We start from the raw sequence: 25,852 nt of genomic DNA on the forward strand, positions 1-25,852 counted from the left end.
CCTAAGGGCACACAGGACAGCAGAGGAGGTGGCCTCCTGGGTGGGCGAGCTTTGCATGCCTGGGATGGAGAGTGGGTACTCCTTGGGAAGCAGGAGCTGATGTTCCCTCGTAAGGGGACCACCATTAACAAGAACCTGTTTCTCCCGTGGCCCTGTGACTCCTCCACTGCCAGCCACCTACTTTACTCTGTCTATGCTAAGTATCTTTTCCCCCATTTCATGAGTTCTTTTACTTATACTTTCTGCTTACTCACAGCTTAGGCTTCCTCCTGACTTCTTTCTCTACGTTTTTTAACCATACAACCTGAGAGCCAACTTGCTTTCCCTCTTGAACTCAGGCCTCTTCAGGGGGATCTGAGCAGGTTCAGCCACCACCATCCCTGTTAGGCAAAGTCCTTGTGTAGCCCTGCAGAGTCACCTCATTCCAATCAGCTGGGACCAGGGAAGTGAGAGCATGTAGGACAGAGCATGGTTATCCACAAAAATTAATGAAAAAGTTAGCTGGGGCCACATAGCCTTGGACAGTAGCCCTCTGGAAAAAAAGGCAAGAAGTGTGACTGTCTTGTGTTAAGAATCAGAAACTAGTTCCCTTCAAGAGTGATCTTATGACTCAATTTGGGATGCAGAAAAGTTTCCTCTTTCCTCAGGTAGAATAACAGGAGTTTAGATGTTGTCCATTTCTCTATTTTAGTTTACTATTCCCTTTCATGTTTGCTGCTCAAAACAGAAAAGGAACTGGGGGGTGGGGGGCAGGGGAAGCTACAAAGATTAAAATGCCACAACGTAAACACAAAATCAGCAACTAGACTCTTGGTTCTAATATTGACTTTTCACCTTTTGAATCCATTTTCTCATTCTGCTTTTTTTTGTCAGAACTCTGCAGCTGCCAAATACAAATATAATAGACAAAGGCCTGAGAATTTTGCTTAGAATGACAGAAAGGAGCTAAAGTTCACAACTGGACCATATCCAGTTTTCTGCCACAACAAAACTCATATTCAATCCCTCTGTGTAGGAGAAGCATATATTAGCCCATTTTCACACTACAATAAAGAGCTGCCTGAGATTGGGTAATTAAGAAGGAAAGAGATTTAATTGACTCACGGTTCAGAATGGCTGGGGAGGCCTCAGGAAACTTACAATCATGGCGGAAGGCGAAGGGAAAGCAAGGCGCTTTCTTCACAACGTGGCAGAAAGGAGAATAAACAGAGGAGGAACTACCAAACACTTAGTAAACCATGAGATCTCGTGAGAACTCACTATCACGAGCACAGCATAGGGGAAACCGACCCTGTGATTCAATTACCTCCACCTGGTCTCTCCTTTGACACGTGTGGATTATGGAGATTATAGGGATTACAATTCAAGATGAGATTTTGGGTGGGAACACAGCCAAACCATATCAAAGCAGATTATATGAAGAAAAAAAAAAATCCCCTTTTACCTACTTTTTAGTTTATTATATATTTTTGTAGAAACTTATTTTGGTAGAAAAGTTGTTTGGTGCGCATGTCATAGTTACCCGTAAAACCTCACAAATGTTTAAGAAAATAAAATTATAAGCACAGTCTGTTTAAAAGCTAAATTATTTTTTGTCAGAAAAAAAAAAATCTAAGGTATTCATTTCCTCTGTGGCCTGGGTTACAAAGAGTAAATTTATAATCGAATGGAAAAAAAAAAAGTCTCAGAGGGAAAAAAGGTAGTGAATTCTTCAAATAAATAACTGTGCTGTCTTGTGATTTCAAATACAGTGTGCTTGATTCATAATACTATTAAAATATTCATTTCATACTTACGGAATATGAAAAACAGAAAATCCAATATTTGGAAGAAGTGTTTATTCTACGAGCAGATGTCATCCGCAAAGTTTATCAATTTACAATTAGGAAGGATTATGAGCCAAAGAGAAAGTTTTACAAAATAATACAATAAGACTAGCATCCAAATCGCATAGATTTATATGAGTGTGAAAAATAGGGACTCACTTTTTCAATTATGGGAAGCGTAGTGGGGGGAGAAAAGCAATTGTGTTCTGTGATAAATGAGCCTTTCTTAGCTGAGAAATCAGTTGCTTCCCATTTTATGTACTCAATTTGTGCACTTTCTATTCTATGCTCCAAACCATTTCTTTCATCTTATGAATAGAAGAAAATTAGAATTGTACTATTGAGGACATATGAGGAATTTATTCTTGAAATAAATTAACTACAATGATGCATTGTTGCGGTACTTTGATATAAAATCAGAAAGATACTGAGCTTGGAGAAGCATAATATTGTTATCACTTACAACTAAGTTTATTTGGGGGAGGAAAATATCTTGACTGATTCACCAATGTAAATGCACTGAAGGCAGCACACACCTCTGATGCGATTTGATGTGAGTTGTCATGTTAAATCTCAGACCCGGGGTATTATTAGGGTGCATTGCTTGCATCTAACAACCCATGCTCCAAGAAACCACGGTGAGAGCCAAGAAGTGAACCATTTTTTTTATATCCTGCATTTATTTAAGCAAACCAAATGTGTAGAGATAGGAAATTAATGTGTTATAATGTTTTACAAATACAGAGAGAAAACACAGAATATTAAGACCCTGAAGAGAGTGCATTTGAGAACGCAGTTCTATCATAGGAGACCACTTGCAGGGAACACATTAAAGCCATTGCTGACACAGCCATCTGTCATTCCTGGTTTGCCGTCATTTAAGTAGTTTCAATAGATAAATCGGTGATTTGCTTTTAAACAAATATTAATGTTAATGATTAGGGTAGCCTTGAAGGGTTTGTGAGTGACTGTACTATACAATGTGATGCTAGGCTTAATGTGTCATTTCAATGCTGTTGTACATTATGCAGGGGAAATAATGTCTTATTACACATTAACTGCGACATCCACTAAAATGTGAACTAGTTTGCATAGGTTAGTCCTTTGGGCAGCACGATGTTGCTCTAGTCCACCAAGGCTTAAAGATTCACAGTGTAGAGGAAAAAAATATGAATTAAAGCATTTCTACTAAAATATATTTTAATAGCTGGTGTTAACAATTTGCATAACAAAAGCCAAATTATATTAGTAACATTGTAACATTCCGTGAAGCCCCTTCATTTGCAAAACATTCAATGTTTTCTTCAAAACTGTTACACTCTCAAAGTTAGTCTCGCAAATTAATCATCAACCACAATTCTACATATTTTGAAGCAAACAGAAGCCAAACTGTACAATGGTTCAATTTTGATCACAGGTCAAACATCAAGTTTCACACCATGCCTGTAATAGACTTGGTGCTGCTTCCTAAATGCTCAGCAATTCATTGCATGGACACTGGAGAATGGGACTGTGATGCAGTTTTCTCTTTTCCTTTAAAGTACATCATTCTTAACAGCAACTGGATTACAAAGAAGTGATACTATGCAAACTGGATACCATGTATCAAGCACAAAAAATCCTATGGCATTCCCAGGAATATACTGAAGTCATACAGACAACTGAGAAAATTTGCTCAAAGATTCTTCCAAGTTTATGGGTTCAAGTAGTCTAAGCATCACAGAATAATAACCACAGAAGCAACATACAATGCCTTGACTTTTTTGATCAACAGTTGACAGTTAGTTGCGAGGAAAGGGTCCAAAAGGCATGGAATACTTCAGAGACTTTTATTTTAGCATCCTTGTCAGTTTACATAGCTTCTTACTTAACTAAAAGCTCTCCCACCTCCATATCACCTTAACCAAAACAACCACAATCTAGCCACTTTTAGATTATCAGAAGCAAATCGCTAAGGTATAATTAATTTATGAAGTGAAGTTCATCTTGTGTAGTGAATCCAGCCTCACAATTATTCTATCTTACAATAGGCATTTTAAATCCCAAATCTAAAGTTAATGTTTATATAGCTCAACTCTATATAAATCCACAAAGAACCTTTCAGAAATAGATGGAAGAAGTCGGCATTTTCTAAAGTTCTAAATCTTTAGAGATAAAATACAATCAGCTAACACCTTTAATATCTGAGGAGCATCCCACTTCCCTACCACAAAAATATCAATCATGTGTAATAAAATATTACTATAGAATAGGCAGCAACTTGCTTGCTTGGTTTTCTTTCCAAGAGCATACTAGACAAACAAGAGTAATCAAAAAGGCACCTATATTTGTATATATCTGTATTACAGTTTTGGTATATCTTTTATCCACTTTCTATAGGGATGTGTTATTAAAGATCACACACATTTTCTTCATCTTTTATTGAAAACATTCCACTGGAGATGGATGAACCTGAAAACGAGGTACATCCCTTGAACTTCCACTATCTTTTTAGAAAAAGTCTTGTTCCTCATTCCCAGAGTGTTGTCAAGCTCAGCATGGAGAGGATAAGGAAAGACTGTGGCACATTGGAAAAACCAGATCTGCATCTTCTTCAAGAAATAAACCCAGTGGACAGAGAGGGGCTGGTCTAATCTTATCCATATTCCTACAAGGTGCTTGTGGAAACTGTGCTTACAAATGCCTGTGTGGTGTATGGAGGTCGAGGAGACCTGGGATCATCAAGAGCCTCCTCCATGGGCAGTTGATAACCAAATAAATATTTCAAACTGGGCTACACTGCAAGTGTGTAAACAATAACAAGAAGACATGAAGGATTCATTTTGCCATAGGTTAGAAATAGAAAGCTTTCTAGAGAACAAGAATTATTAGTAAAAACATGTACTACAAAAGCTTACAACAAAAGCAATATATTCTGTTGCTATACTTTGCTCAAGAGAGAGAGGATCCCTATACAGCTTTGTTTTCAGAACCTTTTAAAAGTGTATCAAACTGTTCCTTGTGCTTCTGTCAGGCTTGAGAACACATCAAACTTTAGAAAGTCAGGTGCATGCTCTCTGTGCTTGGACATTTACACAGTCATCTTTAACTCAATTTTTAAAATCTTCTTTAGCTGTCAGCTTCATGCACGAGATACCTGTTGCCAAACCAAAGGTGGGAGGGAAGCACGTGGAAAGTGGAAAAGTTGTTCAGGCATGTCATTTTTTTTTAAATGATGCTTTTAAAAATAGCACTTTGGTTTTATACATATAATTTTCCAATATTTCTCCTGAGATGCTTAACATCCTGACAAGCTTTATTAACAACTGCCAACACTACCAAATTATGGCCTCAAGAGCATGCAACATCTTGTTCAGTTTTAGTCTTCATTGTAAAACAACTACCCTTTAGTTAAATTCTGATCAGATCTTAATTCCTAAAGGCTTGAAGCAGAAATATTTTGCTATGCAAACATTATTACGTGAAGCTTAAAATTTTAGGAGACTTATTCCTCAAATATGTATTGACTTTTATGCTCAGTGAATCTGGTTTTGAAATCGGTGGATGAAATTACTTTCCTGATTACAAGCATTATTTCAAGTCAGTTTTCATTGCGGTTCTTATAAATGTGCTATTTATCCAAAATTGTACCTGTCCTATATTTAGTCTGAAAATTTAATCAACAACTACTCTTTCTTATAATCACAAAAGAAAATGGCCTGCCTGGGTGAAATGTAAATATATACTTAGTAAAATAAAATTGAGCAGGTATTTTATCCTCAGTTTTAACGACAGATTTTTTTGCAAAAATATTGCAAGTTCAGTTTATTTTTGTAGGTTTGTGTACAATATACCAAAACAGATATGGGGTTTTATCACTTTAATCACGACTGGCCATTTCAGTGAGAGAAAACCAGCCAAACCCCCTTAAAAGAAGTCTCTAGTTATTTGCCTGCATTTATTTTTTCAACTTTATGTCAGTGACATATAGATGCAGCTTCAGTGTAATAAAGCCTATTTACCCTTTTAGCCTAATAAAATGAAATCACAGATTTTCAAAAGCATGTGCTAACTTTTCTAAAGTGGAAATAAATTAGCTTTGGCCTTTGGACTAGTAAACGTTTCCTTAAACGATGTTTTACAGGATGTTTTGTTAATTTCCTTGAATATAACATATAAGGCAGATATCCCCAAGACCCGTACATCTTAGTACTTTTTTGCAGTTTTGCTTTTTCGGTTTTGTCATAGCTGTGAAGTCAGACCCTAAGTGAATGCCACCCCGTTGCAGGTCACAGTAAACGGCACAATCAGAAAAACACAGGGTTGCCGACGGGTGCCGCTGGCTTGGTGACCTGGACTGCAGACTCTGGATGAAATTTCAAGACCCACCAGCAAGGGCTAGCATAAAGCCTGCAAAGTCACTTATTCGAAAATCAAAACATGGCAACAATTTCTTTCTTAGAGAACAGGCTCTTGGGCCTGTACTAAAAAATCTCTGATGACATTCCTGTTTCATTCCCTTAAAAATGATTTAGAAAATAAAAGCAAAAAAAAATGGAAAAGGACGTCTTTTGATTAACCCGTTTTGGTGGCTAGATTTCCATTCCAGAATTTGAATACCATTTTCCAAAAGAAGATACCAGATCATCTCTGTATGGAATTGGTAACTTTGTTTGCTGAGTATTTTTCCAGTCACACTCCAGCTTCCATTGCTTCACTGGCTTCTGTTACATTTTCTTCACTTTGAAATCAATGGTGGCATTAAGTTAATCAAAGCTGTTCAATGGAACACCTAAATCGCTTATTTACTAGAGTATACATGTTATTTCCTAAGATGTAAATCCTTCAAAACTAGAGTGCGATGCAGCAGGAAAATCTCAAGCATCTTTTCAAAGTATGTTTTTCTGATGAGCTGGCGACTAGAGGAAGAAAGGGCTTTTAGGTATCAGTCACCCTTTTTGCTTCAATAATAGGAACGCGCAGTGCAGCTGCCTATGTTACAGAAGCTTGAATCTACATGACATGCAACAGGGTAAATGCTACTAGGGAAATTATATCAATGACATTATAATTTGCCCTTTGCAGAGTAGCTGTGAAGTTATTTGGTCCTGACATTCTGTGGAACTGAGCATAGACTTGGGTCCATAGAATATAAATGGAGAGTAGGAGATGCCTTGGTACAAATGAGAAATAAATAGATACCAGTCAGCCTAGGGAACAAGGAAATTTCTCTGTTTAGTAGAAGTTTCTAGATCCCTAAGGCCACCAGTCAATATAATTTTAACCAGACTGTCCTTCTGCCACTGTTTACACTTATTATATTGGGCAATTTTCACTAATATTGGAAATTGCCTCATGACTCAAAAGCAAAACGGGTTTGAAATTATTGGCTGCATTACAGAGTTAAGAGAATTGGCTTGGGGTGATTCCAAAGTGACAGCTAAGAAGTTTCAAACACACACTACATTTAAGGGACAATCAACTTCTCTATTAAAGTCTACAAAAATACATTTCCCAGAAGGGTTCAATAGCCAATCAAAGGAAACCATGAACACAATTAGCAGCACCAGGTGTCCAGACACAAAGATTTTTGTTTGTAGGAATTACTGAAAATGCTGCTGTTTTCAGCCCAGAGGTCATTCCTTCTTCCTGGTACCTGTGTGTCTAATTGTCAAAGGAAGGATACATCATTGTAAAATAATGGCCAAGTTGTCTTAAAAGTATCTTCTATCTTTTAAAAAGATTAGGTTTGGGATACATTAGAATAAAGCTCAAAGGGCAGGGAGAAATAATTAATTAACAAACTCAATGTAATTCGCTGGGAGCATTCCTGTTCTCCCTGTTCTCTGCACTGTGCCGTACATCCAGCCATCGTCAATAGGCTGCACGTTGACGATGTAGTCGCCGTCTCTAAAGGAGACCTCGTCTTCATCCTGGGCACTGTAATCGTACATGGCTCGGTAGGTCCTCTGAGAAAGGAAGAAGGGATTATACGATGAATGCCGAAATAGCTACAGCCACAAATTCCAATCACAACACACCGACCCACACATAAAGTAACTATTAGGAATGTTTTCAAACACATGTATCTCTGGAAATCTGTAAACCTAGCATCTCATTGTGCTGATCTCAAGTTTACTAGTCTAGCAAATAGCTTAATATTTTTGGAACAGGGATAGAAAAGTCACTAAATACGACAGGTAGCCCATCAAAAAGTAGGCTTTGAAATAATAAAGCCAAGTTCCCCCCAACTTCAGATAACCCCAGAAACCTTAGATAATATGTGATTTCATATTCTTCAGAGAACAAAACTCGTCATATGTCAGAGAAGTTCAAATCTCTCCTGGCAATGTACTTTTCTTAAGTTGATGCTAAAAATGTTCATTTCCTCTTAAAACTATGTAAAACAAATGAAAGAAAAAACTCATAACATACTCACTATATAGGTTTCTGTATCACTATGAGAGAAATTTAGCATATAAGTGTCCTGAATGTTAAGATACATACTCAATTGTACTTATTATATTATGATTATAATGAGTTTTCCTATATTTGTTTTTGTTTAAGGCTAAGCATTTAGCTAACATTAACATCAGACAATCTCAAAATCAAGTACATTCACAGACTGAGGACATGGCTGGGACCCAAAGAATTTTAGAGCAATTCAAGTTACCGGACAGTGTAGAAGAGTTTTCTAGGTGTTGAGGCAAAGACCAAGAGACTATGTTGAGGGCTTGTAGAAGAAATTTCTGCATGAGAAGCCAAGTATAACTAGCAAATGTTGAACACTTCTTCCAAGTTTTACACTGAATATATGAACCAGTTCTTCAAGATTTCCAATGGGGGATTTGAAGATATATTTTGGCCACATAATTTAGGCTTTTGTGTTCATTTTGATTAAGATGAACTTGTAAATACAACCATCAAATATCCATGCTCCTAAGGCATGAGTAAAGAGCATAATCGGCTAGTACCAATCATGAAGTAACAATTAGGATACTGTACTGGTAGATTCTTTGTATGTTTTATTGTTTTATGTAATGCTTATTAATGCCTTCCTTTCTCAACAGTTTACCTCTGTAAGTTTTTTGCTTCCTTCAAAAGAGTTGTATAAATGGCAACACATCATCATTTATCTTTAAATGAAAATACCCAATATTCAATTCAACTCTATTCCACATGTATTTACATGCTTGAGGGGAAATGGGAAGACCAGCTAAGGAGGAACGTATCAAATGGACACTTACTAGATTTGGTGAATGCTGCATTGATCTCATGGATGACACACTGGTCTGGTGCATGTAGCCATAGCCTTGGGAATGGCTTTGCTGATAGGCTCCGGGAAGAACAGGTGCTGCATGTTAAACATACACACACACAAAGATTCCTTAAAGTTAGCCTCGAAATACCCATCCCAAACCCTCAGAGTGATGTTATGCTCTGCTAGAAGCTTCTGAAACAAAATGCCTTTTCAGTGTTGTGAAATTTAAGTTGCAGTGTTATAAGTGATCTCTAGATTAGTAGAAATCTTAGTAATTAGGGACACATAAAGAAACTCAGCTTAGCATGCAGTTAAATATGCTTTAAATATTCTTGTGGCTCTATTGCAGATGCTCAGTTAAAAACATAAACAAAAATTTTTCATACTCCCTTAATGAAATCATGTTTTTATTCGACCATGTGATCCTTTTTGGCATTTTCCAAAAGAAAAATAAGAATTTTAAAGGAATTTAATGATAGAGTATAAGTGTTTTCACAGGGTATTTCTCATATAACAGATACTGTCAATATTTCAAGACATACAGCTGAATGTTACTTTTACAAAGACGGCAAACATAACGTATGTTTAGCAACACGTTTGTTCGGTAGTTAACAAAAAGTCCATACCCTTTAAAGAAACATTTACTTAGAATATATGAAGTCTTTGTTTTATGAAGGAGTGATATTCAGCTGACTTATCAAGACTAAATAAGTCAGCTAAATACGTTACAAAAGCCTGAGAAACCAAATCCTTAAAGAATTTCATAAACATTATTCTTCTATATTAAAAAAGTATCAAAATAGTATTCATTTAGTATGTGCTCTCCAAACCACTAATTATGACATTCAAAAGGCATAGTTCCTGTTTTGAAGAACTCGGAATTCTAGAGAAGCCAACACAGAAGCTAGATTTTAAAACCCCACAGAATCAGCAGACATATGCTTGTGTGTTTCTCTGTGAATGTGTTTAAGTTATCTGTGACCAGAAACATGAGCTATAAATGAGGGTATTTTCGTAGCGTGCCCTTCATTGTCTTTTGAAAAATTTATGTGCTACATTAGTAAAACTTATAGTCATATGTGCTATAAAATATATAATAGTTTGCCATTTTTGTTTAATCAGGTTGAGTATATAAAGTAATTATAATGGGTTGATTTATTCAGAACAGTTTTTATAATAAAAGAAATAAGATTTAATTCTGAGTGTTATGAATAATTAATATTTTATAAGTAGAAAATTCACTCTAATAAGTGAGAACATCAATACTTTAAAGAAGTTTAATCATCAGAAAATTACAAATCATTTAATATGTTCTCCAGATGATAATTATATTAGATTGAAAGGGGATTTTTTAAATAGTTCTTGAGTGAATTTATCTTATAAAGTTATTACAAATTATGCTTAATGTCCAGATAGGGGACCAAAGAGAAACTGCCAAGATCTCCACTTGAATTATAGTATATTGCAAAGTCATTAAAACATCATTAAATATCAAATACTTCAGAAAAGAACACTTTTTAACATTATCAACAAAATTTAAATATTTGATATCAACAGATGTTAAAGATATTGTCAAAATCCACTCACGAAGAAAAAAGAATGAAATTCCCATAGATCTCCAGGCCCACTTAATTAGCTGAGTAGGGAGGCTTTTCTATATTAGACTCTGGAAGCCTTGTCCATTGATTCATTCACTGTCTCTGCTCTCAGCAAATATTTATCAGTTAATGCGTGCACAGAGCATACTGCATTTCCTGGCACATAGTAAGCCTTCACAAATGGTAACAATAATTATTACTGTCCACTATGTTCAAGGCATGCCAGGAAGAAAAGGGGTGACAAAAACAATTGCTCTCCTGGAGCACCGAGGGTCTTGGGCACCTGGCCTTTTACCCAATTAACAAAATGGCACTGGCTACTCACGGTATTTCCAATTAAATGATTCAGCCTGCATACTCCAGACTGTTAGTCTTGCACTGGTTTTTAACCATTTAAACAACTCATGGCTTCATTAATTACTACTTGAATCTATTTGTAAAGTTTGAAAGATTAAATATAAACATCTCTGTAAATTTATAAAAATTAAATTCTAATTCATTGTTACACCATTTAACTGTGAACTTTAAGTTTTAATGTGTAGAGGTAAGCACAGCCATCTTTAAATGTTTAAGAAAAACTTTCAGGAATGGACATTGAAAAATTTGGGAAAATAGGCTATCTCACACTCTGTAATACATTTAGGTTCACCTAGTTTATACATCACAGTCCCAGCTTAGTGCCTGTTAAGTGCTGACAATTCAAGAATGTTGCTTAACAATGTTTTCTCATTTTGGCTTTCAAAAAATAAGTATGCTGGGTATGGTGGCTCATGCCTGTAATCCCAGCACTTTGGAAGTCCAAAGCAGGAGGACTGCTTGAGCCCAGAAGTTTTGAGACCAGCCTGAGCAACATAGCAGACTCTGTCTCTACTAAAAATAAAATAAAACAAATAGCTGTGTGTGGTGGTGCATGCCTGTGATCCCACCTACTTGGAAGGCTGAGGTGGGAGGATTGCTTGTATCTGGGAGGTCAAGGCTGCCATGTGATCTCACCACTACACTCCAGCCTGGGTGACAGAGAGCAATCTTATCTCAAATTTTATATATATATATACATACACATACACACACACATATATATATGTATAGATATATGTATATATATATGTGTGTGTATATGTGTATATATATATGTGTGTGTATATATATATATATACACACACACACATACAAGTTATATTTATGCCTACTCCTTACTTATATCTGACTTTGAAAGGGAACCTGTGCTACTGTTAAATATAGCAAGAAAAGAAAGTAATGTATTAGTTCTAAATGTGTATATGTTGCAGACAGCAGGGAAGGGAGTTTAGAATGAGAAACTTTGGAATAAACATAAGCCATCTATCTAGCCCTTGCAGTTTATCTTCATGCCTTTATTGATTATTCTCATTTGCCATCTGGCTGAATTAGTTATTAAAAAGTTTCTTTGGGATTATAAAACCTAGTTATCTACCTTATACTTGGTACAATAAAAGAGTTTTTAGGGAACTCCTATAGGGGTTATAAAAAAAATAACTGATGGGTCACACCTGTAATCCCAGCACTTTGGTAGGCTGAGGTGGGCAGATCACTGGAGGTCAGGAGTTCAAGACCAGCCTAGCCAACATGGTGAAACCATCTCTACTAAAAATACAAAAAATTAGCTGGGCGTGGGGTGTGTGCCTGTAATCCCAGCTACTCGGGAGGCTGAGGTAGGAGAATCACTTGAACCCAGGAGGAGGAGGTTGCAATGAACCGAGATCATGCCACTGCACTCCAGCCTGGGCGACAGAGTGAAACTCTGTCTCAAAAAAAAAAAAACAAAACAAACAAACAAAAAAACAAAGACAAACATAATTGAAAGCCTAAAGAAATCAACTTAGTAAAAGCAAACAGCAATTTAAGAAGAGGCATAAACACTGCTTTTCTATTGTTATGCTACAGGAATGCCTTTTTTGGAAACTTAGGTAAATAAAACAAGCAAAAGGAAATCTAAAGCAATGGCTTCACATTTGGTTCACTGAGAATTTGGTTGAAAGATAGCTATTCCATGTATGAGATTTCTTCCATGAACATGTGGAATCAAAGGATTTTTAAAAAGTAAGATGTCAGGTTCATTTGGCAACAAACAAGGGCTTTTCAATCAAAGAGTAAAAGCATAGTGCCCTGTTTATTAAACTAGTCATCAGATACCATTAGCATTGCTACAAATGGGGGACAATGGCTTTTCTAACCAAAGAGTTTGAGTTTGACAGGTTGTTTTATGTCAACAAGATTAAAGCCACAAATAATAGTTTTAGTTATACTAAGTCAATGAAAATACACAGAAGTGTGACTCAACTTTCACTTCACATTGGTAAGATTTATTGACCAAAGATCTAGAAGCTGTCTAAAGCTCTAAGCATTTCAGGCTCTATATGGAATATTCTACAACATTTATAACATCAAAATGTCTCTTCTACTGTACAATAAAGTACTTCCACAGATAGGCTATTTTCTGCTTAATGGTTATTATTAAAATGGAAAGAGATAAAACCAAGATAAAGAAGTGAATACATGTGAAGATCATAAAAGAGAAGATGAAAAGGGAGGAAGAAAAGTTTTGTTTTTTTGTTTGTTTGTGTTTTTTGAGATGGGGTCTCACTCTGTCACCCAGGCTGTAGAGTAGTGATGTGATCACAGCTCACTTCAGCCTCAAACTCCTGGACTCAAGCGATCCTCCTGCCTCAGCCTCCCAAGTAGCTGGACATACGCCACCATGCCCAGCTGATTTTTTTTTTTCCCTACAGACAGGATCTTGCTACATTGCCCAACCTAGTCTCAAATTCCCAGTCTCAAGCAATTATCTTGTCTCAGACTCCCAAAGCACTGGGATTATGGGCGTGAGCACTGCACCATGCTAAGAACATGTTAAGAGGCTCACCAAATCTGAAACTGGAAAAGAGGAAATATACGTAAATACACAAAGATTAGAGTAAATGAAAGGAAGAAATGTACCCACAAGAAACGTTGAAGAGTACTCAAAAAGAAGTTCACTGGGGGGGATGTACGCAGAGTGCGTGAAAGAAGAGAATATGATTAAGTGTCCTTGGTGTTCATGGTGCTTTGTATGCCATCATTTAATTACTGCAACAACTATCTAAAACAGATACCATTCCCACTTTACAGAACAAAATACAACAGAGGCTGAGAGATTGAACAGGAAGGCAGCAAAAAAATTATTTGTGCAGTGAAGCCACAGTTAAGGTTTCAAGTCATCAAAGAAAAGGTGAAGGTTTTGAAGGCCCCTCAATGACTATAGAGATACAGTCGATGGCCAAATTCCAAATAGAAAAAAAAAAAAAAGAAAGAAAGAAAAAGAAAAAGAAAAAAATGGTACTTTAACTATAGATGTAATGTGAAAAGAGAAAATAATTTGGGTTTTTTCCTATGGGCTTACTTTTTGAAAAAATCCAGAAAAAGGGAGAAAATCACCATTCAGAAATTTCCCAATAAAGAGTCTAGGACACAATGCAATTATTGTCATATTTTCTAACACTTGACTACTGTTTTATCAGCTAATGTATGTCAAATAACTTAATGAGGTTTTGTTTTTCTTTTTAGGACAAAGAACCCCTATTTAGACAATCAGAGAGGAATTGCTAAAAGAGAAAGTAGGACTATGCTGCTAGTTTTGAAGTAAGTATTAAATAATGAACTAGATCCTAGTTAAATCCTGTCTAGTCCTGGCCGGGCATGGTGGCTCACGCCTGTAATCCCAGCACTTTGGGAGGCCGAGGCAGGCAGATTGCTTGAGCTCAGGAGTTCGAGACCAGCCTGGCCAATATGGTGAAACCCCAACTCTACTAAAATTACAAATTAGCTGGGCTTGGTGGCAGGTACCTGTAATCCCAGCTACTTGGGAGGCTGAGGCAGGAGAATTGTTTGAACCTGTGAAGAGGAGGTTGCAGTGAGCTGAGATCGTGCCTTTTCACTCCAGCCTAGGTGACAAGAGCAAAATAATTCTGTCTCAAAAAAAAAAAAAACAAAACTCCTGTCTAGTCCATGAGCAAGGTGGCTGTGCTGCTTGGTTATAACACACGGCCATGGTATGGACCTTTCTGCTCAAATTGCTTTTACACGTGTCACTGAGAGTTTCATGTCAAAGCCTCAAGTCCTATTCACATCTGATCACAAGACATAAGTGGGAGTTAAGTCCACAAAGTTTATATGCAATCTAGAAACAAGATGCTATTTTTTAATCTGAAAGGATTCTTAGCACTACAGAAACCCCTTTTCCTTCCCTGCAGGATACAGAAGCAAGCCAGATTGCCTCTAGATTTTAGTTTGCAGATTCTTAATTATAAGCTCTGAATAGGGAAGTGCCGAAGAAACAGGCTTACTGCATAATAAACTAAGAATACCCAGACTTCAATATAAAAATGAAGTGCTCTATAATTGAGTTAAAACCACCAAGTTTTAAAGACATGCCTAATCATCGTGATACAAAATAATTAAGCTCAAGCTTTGGGAATCATTTAAAAATAAAAGCAGTCATTACTGTTTTATATGTTAAATCTTCAGTTTCAGCAGGAGCAACAAACCCTGGAAAGGAAGGACAGGAGATTAAGGACTGAGGACAGAGGAAGAATCAGTTACTTGCAGTGTTTTCAACCCTGACTGCATATGACGTTCAGGTCCCCCACACCAATTATAATAAATCAGAATCTAGGGTGGCGGTAAAGGAAATTGCATAATGGTGTCTTATTTTTCTTTCTTTCTTTTCTTTTTTTTTTTTTTAACACAGGATCTGGCTCTGTCACCCAGGCTGGAGTGCAGTGATGCCATCTCAGCTCACCGCAGCCTCCATCTCCCAGGCTCAAGCGATCCTCCCACCACAGCCTCCCAAGTAGCTGGGACTACAGGTGCATGCTACCACACCCAGCTCATTTTTCTGTGTTTTTCATAGAGATGGGGTTTTTCCATGTTTCCCAGACTGGTCTCAAACTCCTGGGCTCAAGCCATCCATCCACCTTGGCCTCCCAAAATGCTGGGATTACAGGAGTGAGCCACTGTGTCTGGCTGGTGTCTTGTTTTTTCAAATGAGCAGCCACAATGCGGACCTACCGAACTGGCGGGCTTCATTCACCCCCATTTGACAGGAATTTAGGGGTATATGTGGCTCTATTTTAAACATGCTATTTCCCCAATTCCCTCTTTTCCCCCAGTGCTTTGTTTCCAATATCTGTGGAGGCGAATGTTTGAACCTGGGCCTCGGGAAGCAGCCTGGGACTGCAGGAAGAAATCCAAGTCAAGAGAAAGCTCATTGTAGAATAATTTGGAGGTTAGCGTGCAACATTCCTGGGAAAGCCAGTGCCACGAGGCGAGGGGAAGCGGACCCCATTTCCTTGGGGTGGAGCAGAGCAGGACCTGGCGGTCATCAGCTGAGAGGAAGGAGGAAGTGTACAGCCTAAAATATCTTTGCAAAATCAAAAATCCTCTCTCAAGCCAATGCTAGGATCCTAATAATCAATTCTCCTCTTCTAGACTCTCATATTATCTTTGTTTTAATTTTCTAGTTTTAGCTAAATGTTATTTCTATTCCTATAATGTATCCTGTTTATAGTATATACTATATCCTGCTTACTGCTGACCATACTACAGTAATACATACTACTTATAGTGATAAAACAATTATCGCCATTATTACTTTAAGATTGCAAATCTATTTATTTTGGTGAAATATACATACCATAAATGTATCCTTTTAATCGTTAAGTGTACAGTTGTTTGACATTAAGCATATTCATATTGTGCAACCTGCATCTTTATAAGAAAATGCAACCTACATAAAAGTATTTAAGCACTCAGGTGTATACCCCTGTGAAAGTTAGTGGGGGAAAGAGGTAACATAAGACTCTACTTCCCCAGGAATACTGAATCTGCACACAATAAAAGTTTAATAATATAAGTAAAATGCTTACAACCCCGTTAGCTCAAGATTTTACTAATTTAGCTCTTAAAGTTCTGCTTTTCAGGAACATCCTTAGTCTCGGGCAATTTGGGATGTTCGGTTTTTTTCCTTACAATGTTCCAGCCCTGCGCTTAGGATGTCACATGCTTTAGTTGGTGTAACTGTCACCACAATCTTCTTTTCACCAACAAAGGAGCTGAAGGTTAGCAGATTAAGTAATTTGGTCAAATATCAGAAATGAGGGGGAGCCAGAATTTAATGCCAAAAATCTGACTTCAGAACCCAAACTCTTGACTATACTAAACCTAAATTATTACAGAAGAAATGACAAAACAGTGTGAGATTAATTTCAAAATAACCACTGTGAATTCAGAAAAGTGTAAGAGTACTATGGCATGTTGAGCAGAGAAGATTCTAGGAGTAAGAAGACTGGATCTGAAGTTTGAAAAGGAGGCGGTCAACCCTTCCTGCTTGGGGCAGTAGAAGTGAGAAAGAGGGAAAGGTAAAGAAAAATGAGTTTAAATGCACAGGATATGTGCCAGCCAGGCTTGTTAGGCTCATAGAGGTTACTCTATTTGTCATTAATTTGTGTGTATATGTGTGGTAAACATCCAACCAGAAGTTTATGTGTATGTGGTTGATGAGGTATGCTAAAACATCTCTGGAAGAAATTGTAGAGGCAGAAATTCACCCACTTTTGGAAAAGCAAACTCAAATAAAGTAGCATCATTTCTGAAGCAATGACTTTTAGATTTATTGTAAGAGTCATTTTAGCATCTGACAAGTCTCTGGGGAGAGAGAGTGTGCGTGTGCAATGTGTGTGTGTGTGTGTATGTCAGATTAATTTTTCTTTTTCCCATTGCCAATACCAACCTATTTTATCCAGGGCAAATATTTAGTCGCCTTATCTTGTATGATAAATTTCAAGCCTATGTTCAATATCACGTCTCCTAATGTGACTTCAACCACATTCCCACTGAGTGACAACAGCTGCATAGTGATGGCACCTAACAATCTTCAAAGTCACTGTGTACAACGCTGCCTGAAAAAGATCTCCCACCATCAGTATTAGAATAAGCAATGCTGTCACCAATATATGAAAGATTTAGTTGAAAATACAATTAATTCCATGAGATTTTTAACCATTTTCTTCCCCAAATATAAATAACCAGGTTTATAATATTCCTTAAATATTAATGGATTAAAGATTCTTTATTGCCTGTGAACTGCAAAAGGAAACATACATACTTTGTACTTTTTAAACTACATATGCAGACATTACATTTCAGCACTTCATTGATATATTTGACTTAGTTGTCTCAAATGAGAACTTCTAGGCTGGGCACGGTGGCTCATGCCTCCAATCCCAGCATTTTGGGAGGCTGAGGCGGGCGGATCATTTGAGGTCAGGAGTTCGAGACCAGCCTGGCCAACACAGTGAAATCACACCTCTACTAAAATACAAAAATTAGCAGGGCGTAGTGGTGGGCGCCCGTTATCCCAGCTTCTCAGGAGGCTGAGGAGAATCGCTTGAACCCAGGAGGCAGAGGTTGCAGTGAGCCGAGATTGCACCATTGCACTCCAGCCTGGGGTGACAAGAGTGAAACTCAGTCTAAAACAAGAAAAAAAAAAAAAAAAAAAAAAAAAAACTTCTCTAAAATATTATCTTGGGGACTCTGCAGTTCCTAAATATTGAAAAAACACACAACATTAGTTGTATTTTTAATTTTCCACCAGTTAAACTTAATTAGCCTCACAAACCAAGAAAATCAGTACATTTTGATTTTGAAGCCAACTGCTTTTTCTCTAGAAAAAATTAGTCTGCAAATGTTCTGACAGAACTGAGCTAAACCATAATATGGTTTAAATACAACTAGATAGCTTTAGATTTTAGAATTTCTGCTATTTTACTTCAGAATAATCTAGCCCATTTACTTCTACATTTAGATTCGAATTGCCACTTCCATTTTTTTCCCTCAGATTTGTTTCTCATTTTATCTCTCTTAGGATAAACTCTGCAAGTTGTAACTATAATTCAAACCACAAATATAAGCAGGATTGTCGGTGAGGGAAAAGAAAATAATTTCTTCCCCAAATTATAGAGTCTTTAATAATTATTCTCATGGCACAAAATCCATATGGTATATGTCTGTGTGCACATGAACACGTGTGAGCTATCCCCCAAAACAAGACAGAAAGAAAAGAAAGGAATGTACAGTGCAGACACATATGTAGCTTCCTGATAAGAACTACGTAATTCTGGGCAGTTCTTCGATAAGGGGAAAGCAATTCAGAACATACAACTGGCAGGTAGACAGAGATGCTATTTCCACTCATGTATCCCTATCACCAAGACTAGCTTGTAGATGCAAATTATGCCATGACTGAAGAGTCAGCTAACAGCAAATCCCAATTTTCCTCAGTGAATACTACTGTCCATGTTGTATAAATCAATATTTAATATGAAGATTCATTACTCGAGTACAATGAAAGAAATTGTCATTATTCCACTGCAGAGGATATTCTAGAAATATGTATTGGATCAATGCATGTAACATTTTTTAAAGACTTAAAATGGCATTGCCTTTGGTTTTTCTTGAACTAATGTATTCTAATACTGACCCTTAGACAATACCATCAATCCATAAGGAGTTCTGATACGTAGTTTTACACTAGACATCCTAAGTGACAAGCCACACTAAATATCATAAATAGACATATCTTGGTGCTGATTAAATTGCTGAATGGGCACATATATATTTTCCAACAAATAGACATATATAAAACTGACTCGATGTGTCCCCAACATGATCTCAAGATACAGAAATACGAGAAAGTAAATGTGAATGATTGTCTGCGTCTCAGAGGGCCCAAATTCTCTATGTGGGTCTGAACAAACAGGCAGGTATGAAGATTCCCTGCCAGGTAGGGAGGTCAACAGGTTGACTGCACACAATCGTAAGGATAGTTAGACAGGAGCAAGGTAAGAACTTGACAGACAGAACAGTAGACAAGTTTAACACACATGGGTCAGGTATGGCACAAGAATAAGATCAAGGACCAGAATGAAAAATATAGACATGGTGGTTCCATGCCTGTAATCCCAGCAACTCAGGAGGCTGAGATGGGAGAATTACTTGAGGCCAGGAGTTCAAAACCAGCCTGGGCAACAGAGCAAGAACCATCTCCGCAAAAAAACAAAAAAATACTCACCAGGCATGGTGGAGGATGCCTGTCCTCCCAGTGATTCCAGAGGCTGAGGCAGGAGGATCCTTTGACCTCAGGAGTTAGAGGTGCAGTGAGCTAGGATTGTGCCCCTGCACTCCAGCCCCTAGATGACAGAGCAAGACCCTGTTTCTAATTACAAAAAAAAAAAAAAAATGTAGCATGGGCATATCAGAAATACTAGGGGGAAAGATCAGGCAGTAATAAGTAGCAAATCTCGCCACAAGGGATAAAGTACATGACAAAGAGCCAGGGCCACAGATAACGGGCAAGCAAAATGCAGAAAATTCATACACTATTTCCCCACTGTATTATTTCCAGCACGTGGAAATATTAAAGAGTTCCTCTAAAGTCAGGAACCAATCCCCACAACCTACACGCCTAGGGCTTAATGTGGGGCACCTGGCTGAAATGGAAAGTGGGAGAAAAGCAGGGAAATTTGTGACTGTGGAGATCACATTATGACTCTACTGTTTTGCACATGAGACAGACAGGTAAGTATGCATATCTGTTCAGTCTATGATCCAACTTGGATATTGATTTTAATCTATATAAATCAAAAACAACTATTTTCATTTCATTTGCTAATGTTCAACCATCCGATAAGCAGGAATATTTATTTTCTCCTTTACATGCATGTCACTTTACAGTTTATGAAGCTCTTCCCGAAAAGCTTTCTCATTTGACACACATGCTAGAGCCACATTTATGTTCTTCCTGAAGATCAAAACTTCTCTTTCTCCAAATCAACTCAGCCTCACAGGAAATGTATTTTTAATGTTGTATTGTTTCTAGTTTAAGTGTCAGATGTTTCTCCTTCACACACATACGGAACCCTTTGACTGAATCTTGGCACATCGATGAAAGACACATGTGCATTCTAGAACAAGTGCTATTCATTAGTATTTGATCCTTTCCCCAACTTCACACTCAGAAAAGAAAACGTATGACATTTCTTTCATTCCATTTCTATTGAGACTAGGAATACAAGTTTCGCTGCCCGAAACTTTTTCTTAGGGACGTAACAGAATGAACGAATACTTGCGAACAATGTACAATGTGTTTTTTTCACAGGCTAGATGTACAGACTAGATGGTAAAATATAATCATATGATAGCCTACACATTGGAATTTACATTATAAAGAAATAATTCATTTTTCTAATGATTAGATTCATCGCAGAAATTTATTTATTTTATTTTTGAGGCAGAGTCTTGCTCCGTCACCCAGGCTGGAGTGCAGTGGCGCAATCTTGGCTTACTGCAACCTCCACCTCCCGGGTTCAAGTGATTCTCCTGCCTCAGCATCCTAAGTAGTGGGGACCACAGGTACGTGCCACCACACTCAGCTCATTTTTGTATTTTTAGGAGATACCAGGTCTCACCATGTTGGCCAAGCTGGTCTTGAACTCCTGGACTCTAGTGATCCACCCACCTCCGCTTCCCAAAGTGCTGGGATTGCAGGCGTGCCCGGTTCATCACAGACATTTAGTATTTCAATCATCAATTCTTCATATCTTCCTAAACTTAAATGAAGATAGCACTTTTTTGGACAAATGTAAACACAACAGCATTTTTGGGACAAATTTAAACCAACTTTTCAAATTCAGTTTGCAAATAACACTCAAATATAGTTGGGAAGTACAACTGAAATTCTGAAATTCTCTTGCTGAATGCACATTCTTTACAGAAGTCAGGCTAGCAAGGAGTTGGATTGGGGAGTGATCTTGAAGGGTCACCAATCAGTAGTCAGAAAACCGAAGCAGTGGCTAAAATAGAAACACCAGCAAGTTTATTTTAAATGAAGATACATAGTTCTAAATCAGGAGTGTATTTTCTTCTTCTTAAATAAAGCTCATGTATATTTGAAGTTTACAACATGATGGTATGGGATACATATACGTGGTAAAATGGTTACTATAGTGAAGCAAATTATCATACCTACCATCTGGCACGTGTGTGTGTGTGTGTGTGTGTGTGAGACGGAGAAAGAGAGAGCGCACGCGTGTGAGAGAGCGAGCAAAGGGCAGCTACAATCTACTTAACAAAAATCTCTAACATAATTTTATTAACTACAGTCCACATGCTATATGTTACATCTCTAGATGTGTTTATCTTACATATCTGCTACTTTGTATCATTTGAGTTACAACTCCCCATCCCCCCACCCCATCGTAACCATTGTTTTATTTTCTATCTCTGTAAATTTGACCTTTCTTTTTCAGATTCCACATATAAGTGGGATCATGCAATATTTTTCTTTCTATGTCTGGCTTATTTCACTTAGTATAATGTCCTCTAGTTCCACCCATATTATGGCAAATGGCAGGGTCTCCTTTTTAAAGGCTAAACAATATTCCATTGTATGTGTATATATACACATTTTCTTTACCCATTCATCCTTTGATGGGCATTTAAGTTGTTTCCATATCTTGGCTATTACGATAAAAATGCAATGAACATGGGAGTACAGATATATTTACAGGGTGGTGGTTTCATCTACTTTGGGTTGGGTATATACCAGAAGAGGAACTGCTGAGTTGTATGGTAGTTCTATTTTAATTTCTTTAGGAACTTCCATACTGTTTTCCACAACGGCTCTACCAATCTACATTCCCACTGTGTGCTAAAGTTTCCTTTTCTAGGAGTGTATTTTCTAATAGGTTTTTCTGGTTATCTAATTTCAGTGTTTCTGCTCTTCTGCATAAACGACAAATGCTCACAATAAGAGAGGTTGCGATATTTGAAAAAAAAAATCTACCAATACTATTTCTACATCATTAATCCCTCTAGCGGACCACTGAGAAGGTCTCTTGATGCCTGAGGAGTCAATTTCTTGGTAAAAATCTAAACAACGCAATGCAGACCAGATTCTTAGAAAAGCTCCAGGAATGGATTAAACCTCCAAGGAAGAGACTCCACTCACCTACAAGTGTAGGTCACTGGTCCTCTAAATAGCGTTTAAGTCTCCTACAGGATAAAATCCAAGGAAAGTGTGCTGGGACCATGTTCCCTTGAGCCCTATCTCTGCAGAGATTGGGGTTCAGCACTGCCCGTGCTCTAGTTCCAGACTTCTTCTTCAGCTCATCTAGACACACAGCCTCAAGATGTGCTGAACTATACCAAGTTGCCAACGTGCTATGCTCTCTCTCGTCTACCCTTTTTCTGCCTAGTACATTCCTTTCCCATTTCTCTACTTGGCTATCTCTCTCTCTCTCTTTAAATTTTATTTATTTTTATTTTTATTTTTTATTTTCTTTTGAGGCAGGGTCTTACTCTGTCACCCAGGTTGGAGTGCAGTGGTGTGATCTCAGCTCAGTGCAACCTCCACCTCCTGGGTTCAAGCGATTCTCATGCCTCAGCCTCCTGAGTAGCTGGGATTACAACCAGCTAATTTTTGTATTTTTAGTAGAGAAGGTTTTTTGCCATGTTGGCCAGGCTAGTCTCGAACTCCTGACCTCAAGTAACCTGCTTGCCTGGGCCTCCCAAAGTGCTGGAATTACAGGCATAAGTTACCATACCTGGCCTCTACTTGGCTATTTCTAACCCTATGCAATACTTCATCACAATGCTTTCCTGAGCACAATGGTTTTATGCAACTGGTTCACCTAACAGAATGTGAGCTCTCTAAAAACAGTACCCGTTTCTTTTATTTTTGTGTTCCCAGTATCTCACACATACAAGAGATACTAGATAAATGTTTGATGACTGAGCAGATGGAGTTATGGGTACCAGTAAAACACCAGGGCAATTGGCCGCACAGTTGATGCACTGCCCTCTTGATATATGCTATGAACAATAAACTGAGAGTTCCAGAATGTACTGAAGCATCTCTTGCAACTCTTGAATACGTATTACATGGGATGAAACGCCGGAAGCATAGCCTGGCTAGGGTGGGTTAAACTGCTACAAAATTCAGAAACTTACTTTCAGTCAGTTAAGGTAGGGCTAGGCCATCCCCATAAGACTCTCTCACAGCAAAATGGGAAAGGCCACGAGGTTGGAAAGCTGAAAATATTTATTTTGAAAAGTGCATCTGTTTTTCATTCCCCATCACACTCCCATATCCTTTTACGTTTTCCGGAGGAAAACAGAAACACATAGCATACCTGAAGCAAAACTGAATACAAGTTCAAATCAAGGCAGGTAAACACCAGGTGAGATTGCAAGCACATACGAATACTTTCAATACCAGAAAACTGCAAGTTAAGGAAAACCAAAGAAACACAAAGTAATACCGGGAAGCAGATACACATTGCAGGCAATGAACTAGAGGCAAACACAAAGATCAAAGGAAACCTCACAGTGAAATAAGCTGAAATCATCAGGATCCTTTTCACCAAAGGAGCTGTGTGTCAAATAAAATATAAGTTAAGCGAATCTAATACCAAAAGGCAGTAAAGATAATTTCAAGTAATACTATTCATGAATCAAAACAAAATTGGGTAGAGGTTAAATAAAAGCCTCTGTTCTTAAATCAAAGTAACACAGTAGAGATGTAAAATGCAAACCCTTTGGTAACTTAATACATTGAAAAGTAGATTGACAAGTAAAGAAAGTCCAAAATAATCACATAGGAAAATGAAAATACTGAACAATCAAAGTAAGATGGGAAAATATCATGGAAAACACATAACCAAAATGATGATGAAAACTTAAAGGAGAAGGCTTATCTGTTAATGCTCATGAAAACCAAATGTGAACGATGAAAACCTTGTACTTTTGCCTTAACGAAATGAGTTGATTGTTCAACCCTTTGTCCTAACAATCAGAACTTACTCGAAAGAAGGAACGAAAACTGTGACTCTCATAACTGCCCAAGTACTTCATTCATAAAGTAAAACAGACCACTTTCAGAACATAAACACATTCTTACACATAGAAAGAAAAGAAAGAAAAAAAGTTTATTTAGGGCACTTAGCTGAGGAAATGTAAAATATCTGCTTCTTGTTCTGCGCCATTCTTATGACAGATGCAAAATTTAAGCCTAATAAGGTTAAATGACCCCTTTGATAACCCGGACCAAGTCGTGAGAGCACTGGGACTTAAGTCCAATGTCTCGTCCTCCAGTTCAGGGTTCCGGCCACCGCAGGACACCACTGCCACACACCCCACCTCGACCACAAGCAGGCAACCAAATATTAAAGGACGTCTTTCTGGGACATAATACATTTTATCATGTAAATTACAGCTAGACAGGAGAAATAAATTCTAGTGTTCTATACCACTGTAGGATGACTATAGTTAGCAAGAATATATTATACAGTTTCAAATAGCTAGAAGGATGTTTAATGTTCCCAATACAAAGAAATGATAAATGTTCAAGATGATGAATATGCTAATTACCATGTTCTGATCACTATATGGTGTATATATCGAAACATCCCTTGGTACCTCATGCATATGTATAATTATTATTTATCCACTGAAACATTAAAAAAGAAAAATCAATCCTTAAAATAGTCCATTATAGCAGTGGTACTCAGAAGATGATCTTGAACCAAAAAATTTTAACTACATTTTGTTTTTAAAAGTAAATAAATTTAAAAGAATCAACAACATCCAGAAGAAAAATAGCGTTTCTAAATATTTATAAACATTTCTTCATCTTACCCCTAACTAGTATTGTTATAAAATTCTTTTCAATTTCTAGGATAGAATTTAAACAAATGCATATGATTGACTGTTACTGTTAAAAGCACTAACGATTTTCATCACTCCACTTTTTATAGAGTCAATCAGCACCTTCTCACCAGAGCCCAGCAGAGCACACATTTCAAAGGGGACCCTAAATTTCAAAGCCACTGAGAAATCATGGAGACTTCTTTCCTTCTGTACGAAAAATATATATATATATATATATATATATGCACACATACTGGGAATGTTTTCACTTTAGAGTATTTTTTCAGCTATGCTTTAATGTCATTGAAACATATCAAAACATCATAAAAATGTAAGAATCTTCTTGAAAGCCTTCCCCAAGAGAATTTTATTTTATAAAAATAATTATACTTATATATATTTATGCA

At 37.3% G+C, this 25,852-nt stretch overlaps 1 protein-coding gene across 15 annotated transcripts in view; it reads right to left on the reverse strand.

The window, feature by feature from the left end:
• Nucleotides 1,824-25,852, reverse strand: part of NEBL (nebulette) — a 513,078-nt gene continuing 489,049 nt past the window's right edge. For 14 of the 15 annotated variants that reach the window (NM_001377326.1, NM_001377327.1, NM_001377328.1 and 11 more), the window contains 2 exons: nt 9,053-9,159; nt 1,824-7,774 (listed from right to left, as the gene is read on the reverse strand). In NM_001377326.1, coding sequence (NP_001364255.1) covers nt 7,598-7,774; nt 9,053-9,159 — 284 coding nt within the window. In that variant the 3' untranslated portion in view covers nt 1,824-7,597. The remainder of the gene's footprint in view (nt 7,775-9,052; nt 9,160-25,852) is intronic. The other variant, NM_001173484.2, reaches the window with a different exon arrangement.

Source organism: Homo sapiens, chromosome 10 (assembly GCF_000001405.40).
Source record: "Homo sapiens chromosome 10, GRCh38.p14 Primary Assembly".
NCBI classification, from domain to species: domain Eukaryota; kingdom Metazoa; phylum Chordata; class Mammalia; order Primates; family Hominidae; genus Homo; species Homo sapiens.